Consider the following 22,984-nt stretch of genomic DNA (forward strand, 5'->3'; position numbering starts at 1 on the left):
CAGAACACAGTGTATACCTATATCAAATCGTCACATAGTATACCTTAAATATATAGAATTTTTATTTGTCAAATAAATATTTTAATTTTTTTGAAAAAGGGATTTATGGCAGTGTAGCAGCAGTGGGTGGTAAGGTCTGGGTCGGGTTCATCCCCAGGTGGGATGTGGGGTCAGGGAGGAACCCAGTAAACAGCCCTGGCCTTGCAGGTGTAACAGTCTAGGCCTCTGTCTTCCTGAGGCGTTGTTCCTGCATGTTGTCCCAGCGTCTTCCCTCTCTGTGTGTCTCTGCACCTCCATTTCCATTTTTCATAAGGACACTGGTCATATTGGATTGGAGCTCACCTTAATGACCTCATTTTAACTTGATTACCTCTGCAAAGATCTTATCTCCAAACAAGGTCACATTCTGGAGTTCATATGAATTTGAGGGAAAACAATTCAATCCATAATATCATCTCTGAAATAAGGACAACTTTACTTATGCATATACAATTTGGGTTGTGGTTGCTGCGTATCTGTTTCAAATGGGTTATGGGCTCTTCTCACACTTTCAGGTCAAAGGGGACTTTGGAATCCATAGTGTATCTATGTATGCATATATGATCATGGATCAGCCTTCCCATTTCTGTCACTGTGTCCCTATATGGTTCATTATCATGTATGTTACTTCACTCGAAGGCCATACACAATCCAAACAAAACAAAACACAGAAACTGTGTTGGCTATTTTGACTTTCTGTTGAAACTATTCTCTTTGGTCATATATATATTTAAAAAATATTTTATATATATATATATTTTTTTTTTCAAGTGATTATCCTGCCTCAGCCTCCCAAGTAGCTGGGATTACAGGCACCTGCCATCATGCCCGGCTAAATTTTTTTTGTGTGTGTATTTTTGTAGATACAGGGTTTCACCATTTTAACCAGGCTCGTCTTCAACTCCTGATCTCAGGTGATCCGCCGGCCTCAGCCTCCCAGATTGCTGGGATTACAGGCGTGGGCCACCACCTAAGATATATATATATATATGTAATCTTTTTCAGTATATTCTCAGGGTGTGTTTGAGGAAACCTTTTTTTTTTTTTTTTTTTTTTTTTGGCCATTGTCCAAGGGTTTAGAACTGAATGGGAATGTCTGTAAATGGATCTGATGGAGGTTGGAATGTGTATCAGCTTTTAATCATCACTGTAACAAATTACTAAAACATTCTCTTTATTATCTCTCACTTTAGAAGTGTGGGAGGGCTGGACTGATGACTCTGCTTATAGTCTTACAAGGACAAAATCAAGGTGCTCTTGGGCTCCTTATGAAGGCCCTAGGGCAGAATGTGTGTCCAAGCACATACAGGTTAGAGCAGAATTCAACTTCTTGTAGTTGTAGGAGTGAGGTCCCAATTCATCACTGGCTGGTAGTTGGGGCCTCTCAGCAATGTCAGGCTGCCTGCGTTGCTCTTCATAGTGCCCAGTTTATTTTCTAAACCAGCAATGGTGCAGAGAGACATTCTCCTGCTTCTAGTTTCTCTGGCTTCCCCTCACCCACACCTCTCTTCTGTGTCTCTTCTGCCTCCAACCAGAGTTAAATCTCTTAAGTGCTCATGTGATTACATGGAGCCCACTGCATGAATCACGATCATCTCCTAAGGTCTGCAACCTTAATTACATCTGCAAAATCCCTTATGTGATGTAACATATTCAGTTTCCAGGGCATCTTGGAGAGTCATTCTCATTCTTGCTGCCACAAAATATTCCTCATTCCTTCATGAAATGTTGTTTGCTTTCATATATTTGTCTCTAGAGAAGCATCAGGTATTTTCTCAACATCCCTTCATGTTAAAAACCCTCAACAAATGAGGCATTGGAGGAACATACTTCAACATAGTAAGAGCCACCTATGACAAACCCACAGCCAGCATCATACTGAATGGGCAAAAGATGTGAAGCATTCCCCTTGAAAACTGGGACAAGACAGGGATACCGTCTCTCATTATTCCTACCCAACATAGTACTGGATGTCCTCGCCAGAGCAATCAGGCAAGAGAGAGAAACAAAAGGCATCTAAACAGGAGAAAAAGAGGTCAAACTGTCTCTGTTTGCAGATGATATGATTCTGTACCTACAAAACCCCATCGTCTCTGCCCAAAAGCTTCTCGATCTGATAATCTCAGCAAAGTTTCAGGATACAAAATTAATGTACAAAAATTAGTAGCATTCCTATATACCAACAACATGCAAGCTGAGAGCCAAATCAAGAATGCAATCCTATTCGCAATGACCACAAAAAGAATAAACTACCTAGAAATACAGCTAACCAGGGAGATGAATGATCTCTACAAGAAGAATTACAAAACACTGCTCAAAGAAATCACAGATGACATACAAATGGAAAAACATTCCATAATCATGGATAGGAATAATAAATATGGTTTTTAACCATATTGGGCCATACTGCCCAAAGCAATTTATAGATTCAATGCTATTCCTATCAAATCACCAATGGCATTCTTCAAAGAACCAGTAAAAACTATTTTAAAATTAATATAGAACCAAAAAAGAGCCTGAATAGCCAAGGGAATCCAAGGCAAAAAGAACAAATCTGGAGGCATTTCGTTAGCCAACTTCAACCTCTACTACAAGGCTATAGTAACCAAAATAGCATAGTACTGGTACAAAAACAGATACACAGACCAATGGAACAGAATAGAGCGCCCAGAAATAATGCCACACACTTACAACCATTTGATCTTCAACAAAGTCGACAAAAACATGCAGTAGGGAAAGGACTCCCTATTCAATAAATGGTGCTGGGATAACTGGCTAACCATAAGCAGTTCCTAGACCCCTTCCTTACACCATATACAAAAATCAACTCAAGATGGATTAAAGAATAAAATGTAAAACCTGTCAGGTGCAGTGGCTCACGCCTATAATCCCAACACTTTGGGAGGGTGAGGTGGGAGGATAGCTTGAACCTCGGAGTTTGAGACAAGCCTGGGCAAATAACGAGACCTCGTCTCTACAAACAATAATAATAATAATAATAATAATAAATTAGCTGAATGTGGTGGCACGTGCCTGTAGTCCAGGCTAATCAGGAGGCTGAGGCGGGGGAACCTCTTAAGCCTGGGAGGTTGAGGCTGTATCGTGTCATTGCACTCCAGCCTGGGCAACAGGTGAGACTGACTCTAAAGTCTCAAAAAAAAAAAAAAAAAAAAGTAAAGCCTATAACTACAAAAATCCTGGAAGATAACCTAGGAAATATAGGAAATGCCATTTTGGACACAGGACATGGCAAAAATTTCATGACAAAGACACCGAAAGCAATTGCAACAAAAACAAAAGTTGACAAATGGGACCTAATTAAACTAAAGGGTTTCTGCACAGCAAAAGAAACTATCCACAGAGTAAACAGACAACCTACTGGAAGAAAATATTCACAAATTATGCATCTGACAAAGGTCTAATGTCTGGAATCTATAAGGAACTTAACAAGAAAGAAAAAAAAACCTACCCCATTAAAAAACGGGCAAAGGACGTGAACAGACACTTTTCAAAAGAAGACATACATGTGGCCAACAAGCATAAGAAAAACTCCTCAGCATCACTAGTCATGAGATAAATGCATATCAAAACCACAATGAGATACCATCTCACACCAGTCAGAATTGCTATTATTTAAAAGGCGAAAAATAACAGGTGCTGGTAAAGCTGTGGAGAAAAGGGAGTGCTTATACACTGCTGGGGGAATTATACATTAGTTCAGCCATTGCAGCAAGCAGTTTCGTGATTTCTCAAAGAACTTAAAGCAGAGCTGCCACTCGACCCAGCAACCCCATTGAGTACACACCCAAAGGAATAATAATCTTTCTACCATAAAGACACACAGACGTGCATGTTCATTCACAATAGCAATGACATAGAATCAACCTAAATACCCATCAACGGTAGCGTAAAGAAAATGTACATATATACCATGGAATACTATGTAGCCATAAAAAAAATGAGATAATGTCCTTTGTAGCAACATGGATGGAGCTGGAGGCCATTATCCAAAGTGAACTAACACAGGAACAGAAAACCAAATACCATGTATTCTGACTTATGAGTGGGAGCTTAGTATTGAGTACCCATGGACACAAAGAAGGGAACAATAGACACCACAGCCTACTTGAGGGTGGAGGGTGGGAGGAGGGTGAAGATCGAAAAACTACCTACTAGGTACTATGCTCATTACCTGGGTGATGGAATAATCTGTACCCCAAGCCCCCATTACATGCAATTTACCTATATAACAAACCTGCACATGTATACCTCTGAACCTAAAATAAGTTTAAAAAAAAAAGAGAAGCATCACGTATTTTCTGTAGGAAATGGGAATTATATATGAATATACATTGTCAAAGACTATAATGTTAGAGATTTTCTATTGCTTATTTCATTAGTTTCTTTCTGGACCTATTCAATCTGGGCTAGCAATTCTGAAAACAAAGTAGTGTGGATCAAACTCTGTCATCTGTTTCTGTCACACAGATTACAGCCCTCATCCTGAAGGAGGGACAGATTTCAGTCCCATCCTAATAAAAAAAAAATCTCTGTTCCGTTTACTGTTTTCTTCTACTTGGTTTGGAAAAATTTTGTTAGAGGCAATTGTCGATACCACATATGGCTGAGAGCAGGTATAGGAGGTATCCTGGTACTCATACTTGGAAACCCTTAATTTGGCATCATCCTCAGCACATGAAATTTCTCAGATCACTAACAATCTTGGACCGATGATGATTCCTTAAGCCAACTTCGCTCTTCTGAAAAGGCTGGCGGGCATGGCTGCATTTTTCTGAGGACTCCTATGTTATCATCCACTCAAGATACACCAAGGCATTAACTAATTTTAAAAATCTTGGCCTGGCACAGTGGCTCACGCCTGTAATCCCAGAACTTTGGGAGGCCGAGGCGGTCGAATCACAAGGTCAGGAGATCGAGACCATCCTGGCTAACATGGTGAAAACCCCGTCTCTACCAAAAATACAAAAAATTAGCCAGATGTGATGGTGGGTGCCTGTAGTCCCAGCTACTCAGGAGGCTGAGGCAGGAGAATGGCGTGAACCTGGCGGTGCAGAGCTTGCAGTGAGCCGAGATCGCGCCACTGCACTCCAGCCTGGGGGACACAGCGAGACTCCGCCTCAAAAAATAAAAATAAATAAATAAATAAAAATCTTAAGCTCTTCAGGTTTACTTTGTGTCTGCTTAGAGGAAAAAAGCATCCAACTACAGATATAAATGTATCCATTAATAAAAGGTAAATGGAGGCACAAAAGTTTATTTGAGCTAACAGTGATTCATGAATCACTGTTGAAGCAGCTTCAAATGGGAACTGGTTCAGGGACCCTTTCAAGGGAACAAAAAGGGACAGCTTCTGTAAGGTAAATATAGTAGCAAATTTTTCACTGGTTGTAGTTATACAATTGCCTTATTTGGTTGATCCTGCTGGAAAGTCTCTAGTTATATAAGTTAATTGGCTTCTGATTGGTTAGCCTTAAGTTTGACTTTTTTTATTTTTAAAGCCATTTACAAGAAATAGCTCAAGTTAAGTTTTGCTTATATTGGTAAATCAAGCAAAGTTAAGGCCACTTACAAGGCTTTGTCTGGTCAGAGATACCTCAGGCCATTTTAATTTTCTTTAACAATTTAAATACACCTGTGTGCCAGAGGACAGCTCAGTGAAGTCTTTGAATGTCTGTGGCTGTATATTTGGAAAAGTATATATTCTTTGCGAAATACCACAAATACTGATGAGGTAAAATGCAATGTATAGGACTGCATGTATATAACAAGTCTTCTATTACTAGATCTATATTTCTGTTTACATATAATTTTTATTACTAAGAAAGGCTGAATATATTTACCTTTCCAGTAAGAATTACAAGTAATTAAGTTACCTCAGTAACACTTCAGTGTTTAGGTACAGTGCAAGTGGCTCTCTGTATCTGTGTCCAGCATGGAATTTCGTACCTAGTTGAAAACTTTCTTACTTGAGAGTGAGTTTTCTTATCATATATGTGGTGATATGGGATGATAACAGAATGCTGTAATGTACAGGCATCCATGCCCCCATGTGATAAGTTTTCTCACATGATTGTTTCTCTTAACTGTGGTTTCCAGATATAAAAGCATAATCTTTGGATTCACAGGAGCATTCTAGAATACATAGCAGGGTTTTGCTGTTATTCCTAGTGGTTCTTTTAATTTAAAAAAATCCAAACTTCCTTTATAATCAAAAGATCCACTTGTTTCCATTTCTTTAGCTGTATGAGTTCTCATAGTCAGTTTGGGCTGCTATTAACAGAACCCCATGAACAGAGTGGCTTATACAACAAACAGTTATTTCTCTCAGTCTGGATGCTGGAAAGTCTAAGTCTGAGTTTGAGGCAAAGCAGATGCAGTGTCTGCTTCACAGACCACAGTCTTCGCCTTATAACTTCACATGGCAGGAAAGGCAAGGGAGTTCTCTTGGGCCTCTTTTATAAGGGCACTAATTCCATTCATTAGGGCTCCACCCTCCTGACTTAATTACCCTCCAAAGCCTCCTGACACCATGACTTTGGGGTCAGGATTTCAACATATGAATCTGGGGTGGGGAAGCAAACATTCAATACTTTGCACCAGTGTAACACCAATTATACTGGATTCATTTAATATGCTTGTCTCCTATTAATTAATATTTGTTTACATTGTCAATGTTTTGAAAGTACTTCATAATCAGTATGATATTTCCTATTATGCCTTCTCCATGTAAAAAATATTTATCCATCTATCTATAAACTGAGCTGTGTACTAATAATGATTCAATAGTATAGATTTAGATGTGGACTTAAATATATAAGTAATATTTTATGTAAGCCAATGACTTCAGACAGTACGATTTGTTTTGTTTTTATGAGCTAACTGTTAGAAGTATAAATGGATTTATCTGTTGTAGAGATATGACTATGATATTGTTTGAAAGTTTCCACTTATTTACTACATGTAGCTCAAATATATTTTTCTTTTAATGTTAAATGAAAATATGAAGTTATTTAAACAGCAAGTAAACTTTCTGCAGATACTTATTTTTGTATTGGGAAGAAAAATTGATTAAATGTTTCATGTTTTTTACAAACTCAAAAGGTATTAATTTCATGGCTAGAGATAAATTATTTCTTAGTATCAACTTGGTTTAAATTTGACTAGAGACTCAAAATGCAAAGCAATAAAGATAAAAAGTGGTTCCACTGCCAGTGTCATTCAGTTGCCTTCTCTTACCTCCAAAATAATAGGTGTCACCTGAATCAATGAGCACAGCCACCAGGGGCTGAACAGCTGTGTCATCATCCACCACCACATTCATATGGCTCCACTTGGCAGAGAAGGATACAGAGTGCCACTGCCCATCGTTTAATCCAGCACCTGGAGGAAATACAATCAGTCAGAGACAACTCTAAATTATGAGCTCTGTAAACACTTGAAAACAATTTGATTCAGATCACTGAATAAGTCAGAGAAGAGTGGTATTTACATGTTCATGTATCACTGAAAAAAACATTAACCACCTATCTTTAATTTAAAAATTTCATTTATTATGAAAATAACACATGAATAAAAATATTACTCTTTCTGAAGAATCACTGTAACAAATTCTGGTAATTTGCTTAAAGTAACTAGAATTTAATTATCAAATATATACAGTAGAAGCCTTTACAATGGGATAAAAACAACACAGTTTGGTTTAATCTTCAAATGCAAAACTTACTTGCTTTACTGAATCTAACAAAAACATTTTACAAGAATCAAGAAAGTGAGTTGATAAAAAATATGTCAAGAATGATTGTGAAAAGGTTTTTTTAGAAAAAGTTGACACAAAATTGCACATACTTATGGGGTGTGACAGGATTTGAAATGGAAGATCACTGGATGTCTGGCTTACTGCACCCATTAATTAAGGTAAACCCTGCTTTCACTGTCTGAGCTATTTTACAGCCCTGTAAACTGTAGAAAACTGATAGTAATGCAAAATGACTTGTACCCATAGAAATACAAATGACTTGTGCCTAGCGAGGTGCAGTTGCTTACTGAACCATTTCATATCTGTCTGTAATTCATTTTGGCATTTCTTATCTGCCTGTATGTGTAGTACTTTGAATTATCCTCTGAACTGATTGTAACATCTTACTGGTTTCTTCATTGATTAGTTAAAATCTTTAACATATATTCGTGTGTTTCTGAATTAAATTATTATTATAGATATAATTATACTGTCTTTTAAAAGTTATTATTCGCTGGGCATGGTGGCTCATGCCTGTAATCCCAGCAGTTTGGGAGGCTGAGGCGGGCAGATCACCTGAGGTTGGGAGTTCGAGACCAGCCTGGCTAACATGGTGAAACCACATTTCTACTAAAAAACAAAAAATTAGCTGGGCATGGTGGCACTAGCCTATAGTCCCAGTCACTTCGGAGGCTGAGGCACAAGAATCACTTGAACCTGGGAGGTGGAGGTTGCAGTATGCTGAGATCACACCACTGTACTCCAGTCTGGGTGACAGAGTGAGACGCTGTCTCAAAAAGATAAAATAAAATAAAATAAAAGCGATTATTTAATATTTGATAAAAAATGCTTAGGAAAGAACTGGAGTTGTACTTTATATATGTACAATATTTTTATATATTTACACTCACATCCACATTATGATTCTTAGTAGTAATTATGAAATTAATCTTGTCAAATAATTTGGTAACATAATGAATTGTCTTTGATGGTAAATTTAAATGTTAAGGTATTTAAAATCACTAGAGGTATTCCGTGCTTTCTTTTACCTGATAATATGTCAAAGATACATGCCAATAAATGGGCTAAAAATAAGATTAGCTTCATGAGGCCTATTAAATTAACTTTGCACTGAAGTTTAAAATTAGGCCAAGATTGAAACTATTTCAGAAGTTACATATATTATAATAAACTTTAGACTAACAGAAATTTTCCTATAAAGTTAACATTTTACTTGATAGTCTTGGGAAACCTGTAAATTATTAAAATGACTCTATGCTTCATTTATTTTTCTTCCTAACATGCATTTATGTGAAGTTAGTATATTATTAGCATTTCAAATGTAGTACTTCTTAAAAATTAAACATTAACATTAATATTTTAGCTTTCCCTTTTAACCTTCAGTGATGTATGAAACAGAAACAGAAGTAGTAATAAAGTGTAAGGAAATAAATTATTCTTTAAAATCAACCAAGATTCTGGATGTCTTCAATGTAAAACTAGGCATTGTCTAAACACAATCTGGAGGATTATATGATTCTGCAGGTTTCTGTGCCTTTTACCTTCTTTGAATTTTTTTTTTTTTTTTTTTTTTTTTTTTGAGATGGAGTCTCGCTCTGTCACCCAGGCTGGAGTGCAGTGGTGCCATCTCGGTTCACTGCAAGCTCCGCCTTCTGGGTTCAAGCCATTCTCCTGCCTCAGCCTCCTGAGTAGCTAGGACTACAGGCACCCGCCACCACGCCTGGCTAATTTTTTTGTATTTTTAGTAGAGATGGGGTTTCACCGTTGTTAGCCAGGATGGTCTCAATCTCCTGACCTCGTGATCTGTATGCCTTGGCCTCCCAAATTGCTGGGATTACAGGCGTGAGCCACCACACCTGGCCCCTTCTTTGAATTCTTTACCACCCTGTGAATTGTAGAAAATTGAAAGCAGGCAAATGATTATTGTCCATAGACATGCAAATGAATTTTGTCTGGCAGAAATACAACTGAACTTCTTCCTGGTTCCTCTACCCCATCCCATGGAATAAGCCAGTTTTACATTATACACAAAATCATTGCAGCAGTAACATCTTACTGATTCCCTCATAAACTAATGAGTTAAACAAAATCTTTGACATGTTCTTTTTATAACTGCAAAAAGTGCCCTCTTTAAGAATATCTTTTGACAAATAAAAGCAGATCTTTGTATAACTGTTTTCATGTCTATCATCCACATTTGTTTTCTTTTTGTTTTCTATTAGGTTGTATTTGGCCTTTGGCCATAGTTTATGCACAAGAAAATCAGATACAGTAGAATCTGTAAATATTTCAATGAGAAGTTACTAAATTAATTGCCCACAACATAGATGTTATTTTAAACACATTTGATATGAAGATGATCTCTTGTTAACAACTACAACATTTTAACTGCAGAGGCAAAATATCATACTCACAAAGCCATGAGCTAAAGCAAAATCCTGATGAGATTTAAGAACTTTAATTATATTTAATTCTAGTTATTGTGCAACCCAGAACTGGATGAAGTGCTTGTTCAGCACTTCATTGAATCCAGAATATATGCAACTCATCAGCAGTAAAACTGAACCAACTACTGTAGGAAAAAAATTGAGGGCAGTCTTTGAAATGGGCAAAGGAGATTACTGGGTATCTTTTCAATGGAAAGATCAGCTGATATTACGGGATTGTAAACCATCATCTTGGACTAGTTACTTTACAGCTGTGTAGTGACAGAAGTTAACTTGCAGAACATTGATAATAATGCAAATAATGCTTGTCCATAGAGATGCAAAGTGTGTACAGAGAAGGGATTTGCCTTTCCCTTTGGATATTGAAAAGTTTAGCTAGTCGGCATCTCTTTTCTGACTATAAATGTGTGGTACTTCTTTAAACAGGCCTTACTGGTGTAAGGGTAAACACAAACCAAAACAAACAAAAGCTTTCTTAGTGCTAAAAGGGATACACACTTTCATTCACTTTTTTTCCTTAGAGCATTTCTTTCAGAAAACTTGTAATTGTACATCTTTAAAATCTTCAAACAAACAAACAAACAAACAAAATCTTATTTAGCCTCTTTCTTGTTTCCAGGAGTGTTTTTCTTGAGGACCTTGGAGACATTTCTTTGAAATGTAAACACCAAGAAAGGCAGTGCTCCTATCTCCTTGTCTCCGTGGGAGTTTAACGTAGGTGCCTGGCTCCAAGTTGCAACTACCCACTTGTCAAAGAGACATGGAGTTTAGTTTTCCTTTGCATAAAGGAGTGTGCCTCCCCAATCACCAGGTGAATGTAAGATGGGCTGTGTAGCAAAAGGCGCTGTCAAGTCCTCTTACTTGAGGACAAGTTGTCCTTTATCTTTAGAACATGTATGTAATGGGTTGTATCTGCCTGGCTATATAAATGGATGAAATTTCTTTATCTTTGCAATCACATTAGCAATTGCCTGAAATGTACATCACAGTCTGGCTTAATACTTATTCCATAATAAGACTATTTCATTTCTACCTTGTGAAACTGATTCACTATGTTGGTAGGCAATTTTATCTGTACTTATTTCCCTAACACTGGTTCTCTCATCAATGAGTTAAAGAAAATCTCTGACATGTGTTCATTCTGTATCTGTGTGTGGGTCACGATTTTAACCTTTCTTGGAAAAAATCTTATTCGTGAGGAAATGGAAACTAGGTTTGCATTTCTAAAAGATAAAAAATATACGTCTCCTCTGAATATCTGTTTTATCTCCCCTGAAACACCTGTGTGAGGTGGACACAGATTCTAACACCCAGGACTTGCCTGATTGTTCCAGAAGTACTGAGATAAGGCCCCGCCCTCCGAATTTCTTCACGGGTCTTGAAATCGTGCTTTCGTACCACAACATTTAATAGCAGTATAGTCACATGTGCCTCTTACAGCCAAAAGGAATCTTTTTTTGAGTATGATATCCCCCTGGTCTCAAGCAGAAGTCAGCCTCTTCGTCTGTGCCTTTTTCTTTTTCAGATTACGCTTTTTTTTTTTAAAGCCCCCATTTAGTTCCGATGCCAATTTAGGCACAATGTCAATTTAGGACCCAGTGCTCCTCCCATCTGCAAATCCAATCATCAAAATCCAGCAGCTCTGTAGTTAACAAACTTGCCCACATCTGACTGCATGTGAGATTAGTTCCCATCTATTGTAACTCAGTCTGGCTTCATGGGATTTGAGCCCCTAACCTAGCATTTGCCCAACAAAAACAGGCCCTGATGGGGAGTGGGGATGTGAGGGCCTGTGTGTGGGGTGGACATTGTGCTAATAAAATCAGACTTCCTATTGTTCTCCCTGCAAAGGAGATCTGAGGTTTACCACTTCACAAGTGAAAACAGCTGAGGCTTAGGAGGCTTCGTGATTTACATTTCAGAAGGGCAGTAAGTGGAGGAGCTGAGATTCTTCCAGGGTGCCCGGCTATCCCAGAAAACGAATCAGCCATCAACGAAAGAATAAGAACTCTTGGTATTTGCCGGGCATCTTTCCCTGTAAAGTGATAGTTATCAATTGACTACTGTGTATAGAATATTTGTGCACAGACCCTGAGCGGCAGGGCGGAGAAGGGAAAGGAGAAGGAGGACAGGAGAGGAATGTGCCTCTAGGTATTGTCTGTTCCATGAGGTCCTGACCCTAGTTCTTTGGGATGGAGGCTGGTATATGTTTGTCAGGAAATGGAGCTCAAGGGTATTCCTTGTATATGGGAAGGTACATCTGCAGAAATATGCATTTCATATTTCTCATATATAGTCATTTTGGTCAAAAGAACACTTTAGTGGCAGCGGGGTGTACCACACAGAACAGTCTAAAAGGAAGCAGCAATCTGTTCCTCTAGTGGGGGCATGGAGCATCTCACTGCCTCACTCACTCACTAATTACCAAATGATTTCCGTGTGGATATGTCAGGTTTATGGGAATACAACTCTTACCTGCTGTGACATTCCTTGGTGACTGTCCCGCCTGGAAGAGACTCAGTTTGAGCTTGCCATCCTTAAGAAAGAGGACGAAACTCCCTGAACCACGTTGAAGTTCGCCGAAAAGCAAATGTCCTGCTCTGTTCCACGTTCGAAATTGAAAAGTGACAGACACTTTGTCCTCCCCAGAGTTGCCTGGCAGAGCCAGATAACTCCTGGAGCTCAGAAAAGTCACAGGGACAGTCTGTGGCTGTGGACATGAGAAGGACACATTTCCCTATAAATAAAACAAAAGAGCACATTGAGCAGCCTTACAGGTGGTGCTTCTATCTAATTAAAGCCAGATTTTACGAAGACGTACAAGGCTTTTTATCAATCCAGGATTAGTCTGCCTGCTAAAGCTGAAATCTATGACATTTATCTTCTCTTTCAACATAAGTATTATTATAATTGGGCAGATATCCATGTGGCTTTCTGTATGTGTGTGAGAAATTCTCCACTTCTCTACTTCTCAGCATTAGTAAAGGAGTCTCAATATAATTTTAGTTCAACAGGAGTTTAATCTATGCCAGCTATTTTCCAGGCCCTGTGCTAGCCCTGAGGATACAGCAAATAACAGGACATTTTCATACTCAGTCTTTCTCCTGAGCAACATTTGGTCTTCTCTACACAATCCTCAAAATCTCTATTGAACCAGCTTACTATTTTACTGGTTCCCTCATTAACGAATTGACTAAATCTTTGACACATGCTTATTTGATATTTGTATTGGTCATATTTTTAGCTGTTGGAAAGTTATATTTGACAGCCTTTCAAATGGTTTTCAGATCTAATAGTTATATACAATGTTTGCATATAGTATTTTTAGCATGAAAACATTGATGTTTTTATATAGTCAATTATGTCTATATTGTATTTTACAGCTTCTGAGTTTCCAATCTTTGTTAAGAAAGTTTCATACTACCCTAGGTCCTACATACAACCTCATAGATTTTCTTTAAGATTGTTGTTTGTTTCTCATCCTCTTTAATTTACATATTCTTAGTGTGTATAAGATAGTGATCATGCTTATTTTCTGCCTTATGGACACTTGTTTGTTCCGGCAGAATTTCAGAAATAATTCATCCCTGTTCCACTGAATTGAGCCACATTCCTTGTTACTAACAACTTTGCACATAAACTGGGATCTTTCTGAGATCTTGACTGTTCTACTGACTTCTCTGTTCCTATCCATTACCATACTGATTCTAGTATAGAAGCTTTTAGCATGCTTTAATATCTGGTAAGTCAACATCTTACTAGGTTTTTAAATGGTTTTTGTTTGTTTGTTTGTTTTGCTTTGTTTGGCTGGTGAAAGGAATAAGCAATTCTTGGGCATTATTCACACATAGGAATTTCAGTTCCAGAGAAAAACCACAGTAATTCTGATTTTACTTGGAATTTCCATGGATTTATTTCTAATATACTATAAAAGATTTTAGAAAAAGAATGTTACTGGAGCAGGACAGCTCATCTAGGGTAGTGGCTCTCAAACCTAGCTAAACAGTCGAATCACCAGAAGGGCTCTTAAAATCCAGATACAGACCATTTAAAATCCCGATCTCTGGAGGTGGAGCCAGGTAAAGGTATCTTTTGAATCTCCTCTGGTGACTCCAAGATAAAGCCAAGTTTAAGAACCACACTGATCCAGTGGTAAAACAATTTTCAAAACAGAATCACATTTTTAAAAAATTTTGTCCCAACATACTTTAGAAATGGATATAATTCAGTTATCATTTTATAATAATCTTTAATACACATTCTAACTGTATACATCAATCAGAACATTTCTTCTTGACTATTTTTGTAATTCTGCTAAACGGAAAACACTTTTCATGACAAGAAAACATTTGCAGAAGAAAATTTAAAAAAGAAAACATTTGCTGTAACGAACTAAATACCAAAAGCTTACAACTAATTGGCGCTGATCCGTAGTACACATGTAATCACTGGACTATTACATATTTTTTATCTTTTTATCAGCTGTATATTTCTTGACCTCATCATTTAGGTGGGTAGCTGCCTGCTACAACAGAGAAGCAGGGCTTCTTGCCACAGAGGAGTGCTTGTTAGTTGACTAATGAATTCTGGCAGCTGATTTTCCCAAGAAAATACATTTTTAAATGTTTTCCTTTTATATATTGGAACAACTATTTTCCTGTTTTTATACAGAACACATAGAATTGTAGTAATTCTTAAAATGGAATTCCCATAATTAACATTATATATCCATATGCACAATTTGGAATGAATTGTCTTTTTGTTTTTGTGTGAAACTTACACATTTTAATAACCTCATTCAATGTAATTAGTAAATAGTTTTCTTGAGGATGATATCCAGAACCCAGAGACACCAGCTTAACTGTGGTTCTCCTTATTGGCTATACTCAATAATTCCATCAGCGAACCCATCAGTAATTCAGAATAACATGGAATGTATATGAAAACCTGTGTCTATTGTCCTCAAATAGTCTTGTCTCTTTGTGTCATAAGGCCCAACTCACTCTTCCTCACTTCAATGACAGTGTCTTTGGAAATAGCCCCATAGAAGTTAGGGTGAGGAGGAGGGATTCTTCTGAACACCAAGGACTGGCAGATAAAAGGTAGCTTAATATTCAGAACGTGTTAGGTCAGGCTTCTTGACACGGATGCCCATTGGCCAAACCCATCTTTGTATCTGTATCTGAGTAACGCATCTCCAACAAAGCCAACTTCAATAACCAGGTCTTTTTTCTTTTTCCTGTTGAGCAGCACTTAAATGTCAGTTTCTCCATGGACAGAAACTTTAGGTAGAGGGCTGTTCCATTTATCTCCTTCCTCTTTTCATTTCTTTTTCATCTTGTCAAAGGAAACTGCGCTCTGTGGAGCCTTGTTATCACTCTTCCCTTTGGTGTTTCCTTTTTCATGTATCTTGATGGTATTTTTCATTTTTATGATCTCAGCAGGGTGCTGTTCATAGTAAAACTTAGACTTCAAACCCAACTTTTTTTTTTTTTTCTCCTTTACCTTCTTGGAAAGTTCATGGGCTTCACAGCTGTTTTTCCCCTTTTCTCATGCTAACCTAAGTGATGTATTCATTGTGTGGTCTGGTGACACACAGTCAGAGATATTTTCAGGTTTTGGTCCTGCAACCCATGAGCCAACTCCTCCAGCACATAACAGGAAAGAAAACATGTTTCCAACAATACAAATAAATATTCCCATGATGTGCTGCTGAGATACACTGACAACTAAACATGAGCTTTCCCTTTAACCCAACTTAGATATTTCAAACTTTAAACATTGAAAGAAGTTTATTAACTGATTTGGAAGTATTTCCAGTTGATTAGGGAATAGATCATTAGGGACTGCCATTGCAAAATGATTGGTCTCCTGTGGATAACAACACCAAAAACACGTGAGACATATGAATTCTGATTTCCATGTAAAAATAGAAAGTTACTTTATTTCATATAAAAATGAAACAATGATGTCCCATGAGGCATATTTACTTTATAACTTTTTATGCATAATAAAAATTACTATATTAGGCTGGGTAAGGTGGCTCATGCCTGTAATCCCAGCATTTTGGGAGGCCGAGGCGAGTGTATCGTCTGAGGTCAGGAGTTTGAGACCAGCCTGGCCAATGTGGCAAAACCCTGTCTGTACTAAAAAAAATTAGCCAGGTGTGGTGGCACACACCTGTAGTCCCAGCTACTCAGGAGGCTGAGGCAGGAGAATGGCTTGAACCCAGGAGGCAGAGGTTGCAGTGAGCCAAGACTGTACCGCTGCACTCCAGCCTGGGCAACAGAGCAAGACTGCATCTCAAAACAAAAACAAAAACAAAAACAAAAAAAGTGCGCCTGTGGTCCTATCACTTTGGGAGGCCAAGGTGGGCAGATCACGAGGTTGGGAAATCGAGACCATCCTGGCTAACATGGTGAAACCCCGTCTCTACTAAAAATACAAAAAGCCGGGCATGCTGGTGGGCACCTGTAGTCCCAGGTACTCGGGAGGCTGAGGCGGGAGAATGGCGTGAACCCAGGAGGCAGAGCTTGCAGTGAGCCAAGATCGTGACACTGCACTCCAGTCTGGGTGACAGAGTGAGACTCCGTCTCAAAAAAAAAAAAAAAAAAAAATTGGCCAGGCCCGGTGGCTCACACCTGTAATCCCAGCACTTTGGAAGGCCGAGGCAGGCAGATCACCTGAGGTCAGGAATTCGAGACTAGCCTGGCCAACATGGCGAAACCCCGTCTCTACTAAAAGTACAAAAATTAGCTGGGCATGGTGGCGGGCGCCTGTAATCCCAGCTACTCAGGAGGCTGAGGCAGGAGAATTGCTTGAACCTGGGAGGCGTAAGCTGCAGTAAGCTGAGATTGCGCCGCTGCACTCCAACCTGGGAGACAAGAGAGAGACTCTGTCTCAAAAAAATAAATAAATAAATAAAACTAAATTACTATATTACATGGGCAGCTGTTAAAGTAAGAACTGATTCTTAAAATATTAGATGAAATGGAGACTTCACATGAATAATTTTTAAATGCAAAAAATAAAATGTCCTTTTTTCTTTCCTTCCCATTAGGCTTCCTTACCATCATGAGGATCTGTGGTTTGTGTTTCTTGGCTAATTCGGTAACATCCACTCCATTATAATAAAGATTTTCTAAACACCCATGAAAGCTTTTACGTGTGAATGCCCGTGATCTTCCGGGTGACAGAATTCCCCCAAAGCTGATCTTAGAAAGAAAAATGACATAAATAACATTGTTTAGTGATTTTCTGATGGTACGTGTTTAAAGCATTTATAAATTAATAGGTCTAGTACTAATTGTCACAAATCCATTCCCATTATCTTATATTTGCATGCTTGCTTATTCCAAATGAAGTGTTCTATCATAATGGCAGCTGTTAATACCTTTATTTCTGGCACCACACAGTTTTGAACAAACTTAAAAGGAAGAAGTCAACACACATTTTCTGCCACGTTGAAATTTTCAGCCATGTAGTTAAATTTACCCTTTGTGGGTCATATGATCTCTTTTGCAGCACTCAACTCTGACACGAAGTACCAATGTGGCCACGGACAACACATAAAGAAAGAGAATATGTTCCAATAAAACCTTCTCTTTTGAACAAAAACAGGCTTTGTATTTTTTTAATTAAAAAATGTCCAAACTTGGCCTGATGCCCAGTTTGCCAACCTCTGCATTAGATATTATCTTTTGCTATTACATGGTTAAATTAAAGTAATAAAACTGAATAATCCAGTATAGGACTAGGATCTTCAGTTTAATATTATATGCCAAAGCCACTTATGCCAGTAAATATCACAGTTTTTCTGGTTTGTTCTGATCCTTCATACACTTTAAGGTGTCCTGTGAAGGACTGGAAGAATAGATGCTATTTAACAGTGTAGCTTAGATACATATGGGCAATGGGTTGCAAAAAGCATTAATGACTTAAAAAATATCAGGATATTATTTATATGTGAGCATCTGACTTTCTTGTTATTTAATAAATCTATTGGTGTTTATCTTGTTAACTTCTCAAAGTGATCCTAAATAATGCTATGTTGGTTAGGATTGCACCAAGACAAGAAAAAAAATCCCCCAGGAATCTGCATAGTCAAACAACAAGTGTAATATACCAGATGAAATTTCAAATGAAATATATTCAAATGAGTACATTTAATAACAATGCTTGCTACCTTGGTATTTCTGCATTTGTGGATTTCCTAAACCTAACACTGACTGTTTACTTCTTTTCAAGGTGGAAAAGATGATCTATTATAATAAACTGACCTATTAGAAGGCATAAACAGTTTCATAGTACCGGGACAGACATACCTATTACTATTAGTCAACTTAGTTATGAATTACTATAAAATGGCATTTCTCTATGCAGCTACCTTATTTTTCAGGTTATATTTAATTTAAACTATATATCTATAATAACCTCAAAATTAAGATCCAAGTTACTGGAATCTCCCTTTGCTTGGAAATGATGAGTGTGTTTGTCCACGGTGAAGTTGACCTGCGTGTCGAGGAGCTCGATGAGGACGGAATGCCAGTGCTGGTCATCCAGCAGGCTGCCCAGGGTGAGGGTCACAGGAGCAATAGTAGAAGGCAGCTTAGCATTGCCTTAAAGGAGAAGGAAAAAAACAGTTATTTCTGTTCAAAATCACGGCTTCCCTTTTTTAGTTGAGCATCACAGTTTGCATCCAACTTTCCATCTTACAGAGTTGTTTTCTCACTTTCTCCCTATCTTGAACACAATAACCTTACCCTGTTTTTATTTTTTTAAGTTCAATTCTACACTTTGTTGAAATTTTTCTTAGTATTTTTTCTATTACTCATGACATTTGGATTTACATTGCAAATATTTTCTTTCTTAGAACCTCATTATCAGCATTATCTCATAATTTTATAATGATGTATTGTCTTTATGATATGGATAATCATATATTACATATATATTATACACACATATGGTGATCTTGCACAGTTTGTCAAAATATATGCTGTTTACAGAAATCATACTTAGGATATGTATTGCATGCATCTGGTAGTAATGCTCTTAAACTTTCATTTACATTTGTTCATTGCAGTTCTACTTTGCACTTACTGTCCCAGAGTAACTATCACTTGTGTATTTTTTATTTCTTAAAGGTGTTCTGGTTTAGATGATGAATTATATGGTCATTTTATCTAACTGTGAAAAGACTGAGTACCAACAAATGTAAACAGATTTTTTTTAACTACTGGTATAAAGTTCAAGTATTTTTTTACCTGAATTAAGAAAAAAGACAAGCTTTCCTTTAATTAATTCCAGAGTAATGTGATTTCCATGTTGTCCTTCTCTGTGAAGTAGAATTCCATTGCTCTGCATGGCTTTAAATTTCAAAGAAATAACATCTCTTATTGGTTTTAAAGGTTTTTTATCAAGTGTATACAGCAGAGCACTTTGTCCATCAAAATAAACCACCTCAGATTCTAGGAAAGAAGATATTAAAAAGCAATTCTAAATATAAATATGCCATACAGTAGCACATTGAAAATGTGTGCATCCATATGCCACACCACACACACATAGACACACATTGTATTTCTAAGCCATTCACTGAAGGAAACAACTGACAATAATATATTTTCTGGTGGCATCAGGAGTTGATATATGTAATACCCACTGTTAGATTTTTCTAACATTTTCTCAAACTTCATCATCTAGAAATGCTTTTATTAATCTACTCCCAATGGCTCTTATCTTTAGAGCAGCCCATTTCTTCTCATTCTGTTTGATTAAAAACACTCAGGAAAGAAGTCATATTTCACTACATAAATTATTTATTTTAAGGTCACTCTTATATTAAATATCAGTGTCACTCAATTTAAATACCTTTGTTCATTCCCAGTAGCTTTGGCTTCTCTTAATTCTTACACATGTACCTACTTTACTAAAGATTTTGTCTGTAAAGATACAGAAACACATATCATACTTATTAATTACTGCTTTAGACATGTAATAAATGTATTTTAAATGAGCTGACATGTAATATTTTTCTCAACCCTCAGCTAATGGTACTGCTAATGGGCACTGCAATGTGTCAACTTGGCTAGGCCATGGTAAACAGCTTTTGGTCAAACACTAGTCTTGATGTTGCAGTGCAGGTATTTTTTAGAGGTAACCAATATTAAATCAGTAAACATTGAGTAAAGCAGGTTAAACTCTATAACGTGGGTGGGCCTCATCCAATCAGTTGAAGGCTGTAAGAGAAAGAAAGAAAACTGAAGTTCTCTAGGAAAGAAGGAATTTTGCCTCCAGACAACCTCTGGACTCCAGCTGCAATATCACCTCTTACCTAGGACTTGCCAGTCCTTACAATCAGGTAAGCCAATTCCTTAAAACTCTCTCTCTCTCTCTACACACACACACACATACACACACACACACACACACAGGCACACAGACATCCTATTGGTTCTGTTTCTCTGGAGAGCCCTGACTGACAAAGGCACAGAGGTTTTGTTTTCTTGGATGCTTTGTTGAGAGAGCATGGCCTTAACACCTCTGTTTTGGTTCTTCCTGCTGTAGCTTGTCAGAACTCCAATGCTGCCACACTCTCTCAGCACTCTGTCAGGGTCTTATAAATTCACTATAAATGTCACATATGTTCAGCTCATCAAAAAACAAGTTGTTTCATTTTATCAGTAATATAAAATAATATTTGATAATATTTGTCAAAATCACATGAAGAAATTAATATTACCCAGAAAATCTCTTCTTTTTAAAAGTAAAAAGAAAAATAAGCAATTGTCCTTTGAAAAATATATTTATTTAATAAATGAAGATGCATGAAAACCTAGTGAAATATGAAACTATTTGAAGCTGATGAGCTGATGTCATTCAAGCCAATAAGATGGCATTGTTTAATTATATTTAATTTCACAAAAATATTACTAGTACTTTTTGCATGGCTATCCATTTCATTCACAGTATCTGAAATACATATAGTAAACTGCACTTCAAAAGTTCTCCATTTTATGTATCATTTTAAAATTTAGAAGTTTGATTTTCTCACATTGGGTTAATGTACTTACAAGGAATTAATGTATCAAGTGCATGATGAATAAGCACATTCTGAGTAAAATATGTGTAAATTAAACAATTATTCCTTGTTACATAACTTATTATGTGTTCATGATAAAAACAAAACTCTCTGTCAAATGTAAATGAAGACATCTAAGATTATTATTCCCTGGCCATGAACTAAGGGAAACTTGAAAAAGATTGACTACAGACTTTCACATTTTTAGCACTTCCCTTATACTTATAATCATGTCTTTATTTGTTGCTTAAAGAAAATGCTAATATTTGAGCTATTTTTTTTTAGTTGACTAACAAAGTTTTCTTCCCGAAAAGGTTTTTTCTGGATTATTGCAACCTATACATTTCTTTTTCTCATTCTATGTTTACTATTACTCTCCAACAGCAGTATTGGTCTTCTAAGGCATGTGAAGTACAGTTCCTGGAATGTTTCCCTCAGGCAAATAGAATAGTAAAAAACTTATCAAGTAAAAGAGACATAAAGCAATGACCTTGAAACTCTTTTGTTCTTTAGCTAATACCTTGATTTTTTCTTTATTGTAATCGCTAGTGCTTGTATCTAGAAATTTAAGAATATACTTATAGCTCATTATGCATATTTTAAAATAAAAGCAGATTAATGAATTGTAAATCCAAACTTTCTAAAAATCATAAAACATTCTATGATTTATGAAGTCAATACATAAAAATATGAAACAAAAAATGATGTTTGGGATGGAAAGCATTGAGTTCAATAAGTCAACAGTAATGAGCCCACCAAGATCAGCACTGGAGAGGGACAACTCCCATGTAGTCCCTCTTGAATAAGATCCTCCCACTGGAGAAGCAAAATTTCAAGTCTTGGTCTTTAGAAGTAATGCTAAAAGGTAAACTCTCTTCTCACTTGTCCACAAAAGTCATACTTTTAGCATTTTAAAACACTTGCAAGAGCAAAGAAAAGTTCTCCCAGCTGGTCAGGTGCAGTGGCTCATGCTTGTAATCCCAGCCCTTTGGGAGGCTGACGCGGGCAGATCACTTGGGCCCAAGAGTTCGAGACCAGCCTGGGCAGCATGGCAAGACTGGTCGCACTTGCTTATATTCCCAGCTACTTGGAAGGGGGAGGTGGGAGGATCGCTTGAGCTCGGGAGGTGGAGGCTGCAGTGAGCAGTGCTTGTGTCACTGCACCCCAGCCTGGGCAACACAGCAAGACCCCATTTCAAGAAAAAAACAGTTCTACCTAGCCATAATCAATGCAAATATTCCCCTACAATATATATTTGAATAATACACTAAAATAAAATAATTCCAGTAACACATTTAATATAATCTTTTCTCAGAAATCTGTTGGAAAAAATCCTTTGTATGAAATTCAATTATATAAATAGGAAATGTAGTGGGATACTGGAAAATTAATGTCACTTATTATGTTTACGATAAAATCCAACGTTCCTCAAAGTTTTCAGAATAAAAGCCTTGCTATCCAAAATGAATAAAGAAAACTTAGCTTGTGGTTTAAAGCAGGAAGTGCTTTTCTAATTTTATATGAATTTAGTTTATAATTATTAGCTTTATTAATTAAGATTATAGTTTTGATTGCTGAATCTCGATCAGTATTAGCAATGTGGACCCCTGACACGTTAGTCTGTCACCATTAGATCAG

At 37.2% G+C, this 22,984-nt stretch overlaps 1 protein-coding gene and 1 pseudogene across 1 annotated transcript in view; both read right to left on the minus strand.

Moving 5' to 3' along the window:
- CNTNAP3B (contactin associated protein family member 3B) overlaps positions 1–22,984 on the minus strand; it is a 238,891-nt gene that overhangs the window by 88,336 nt on the left and 127,571 nt on the right. The window contains exons 5-9 of the mRNA NM_001201380.3: positions 19,530–19,733; positions 18,697–18,881; positions 17,334–17,477; positions 12,739–13,000; positions 7,297–7,440 (exon numbers count right to left, since the gene is read on the minus strand). Coding sequence (NP_001188309.2) covers positions 7,297–7,440; positions 12,739–13,000; positions 17,334–17,477; positions 18,697–18,881; positions 19,530–19,733 — 939 coding nt within the window. The remainder of the gene's footprint in view (positions 1–7,296; positions 7,441–12,738; positions 13,001–17,333; positions 17,478–18,696; positions 18,882–19,529; positions 19,734–22,984) is intronic.
- LOC100421691 (NSA2 ribosome biogenesis homolog (S. cerevisiae) pseudogene) lies at positions 15,208–15,830 on the minus strand (annotated as a pseudogene).

The sequence above is a fragment of the Homo sapiens genome, chromosome 9, assembly GCF_000001405.40.
Source record: "Homo sapiens chromosome 9, GRCh38.p14 Primary Assembly".
Classification (NCBI taxonomy): domain Eukaryota; kingdom Metazoa; phylum Chordata; class Mammalia; order Primates; family Hominidae; genus Homo; species Homo sapiens.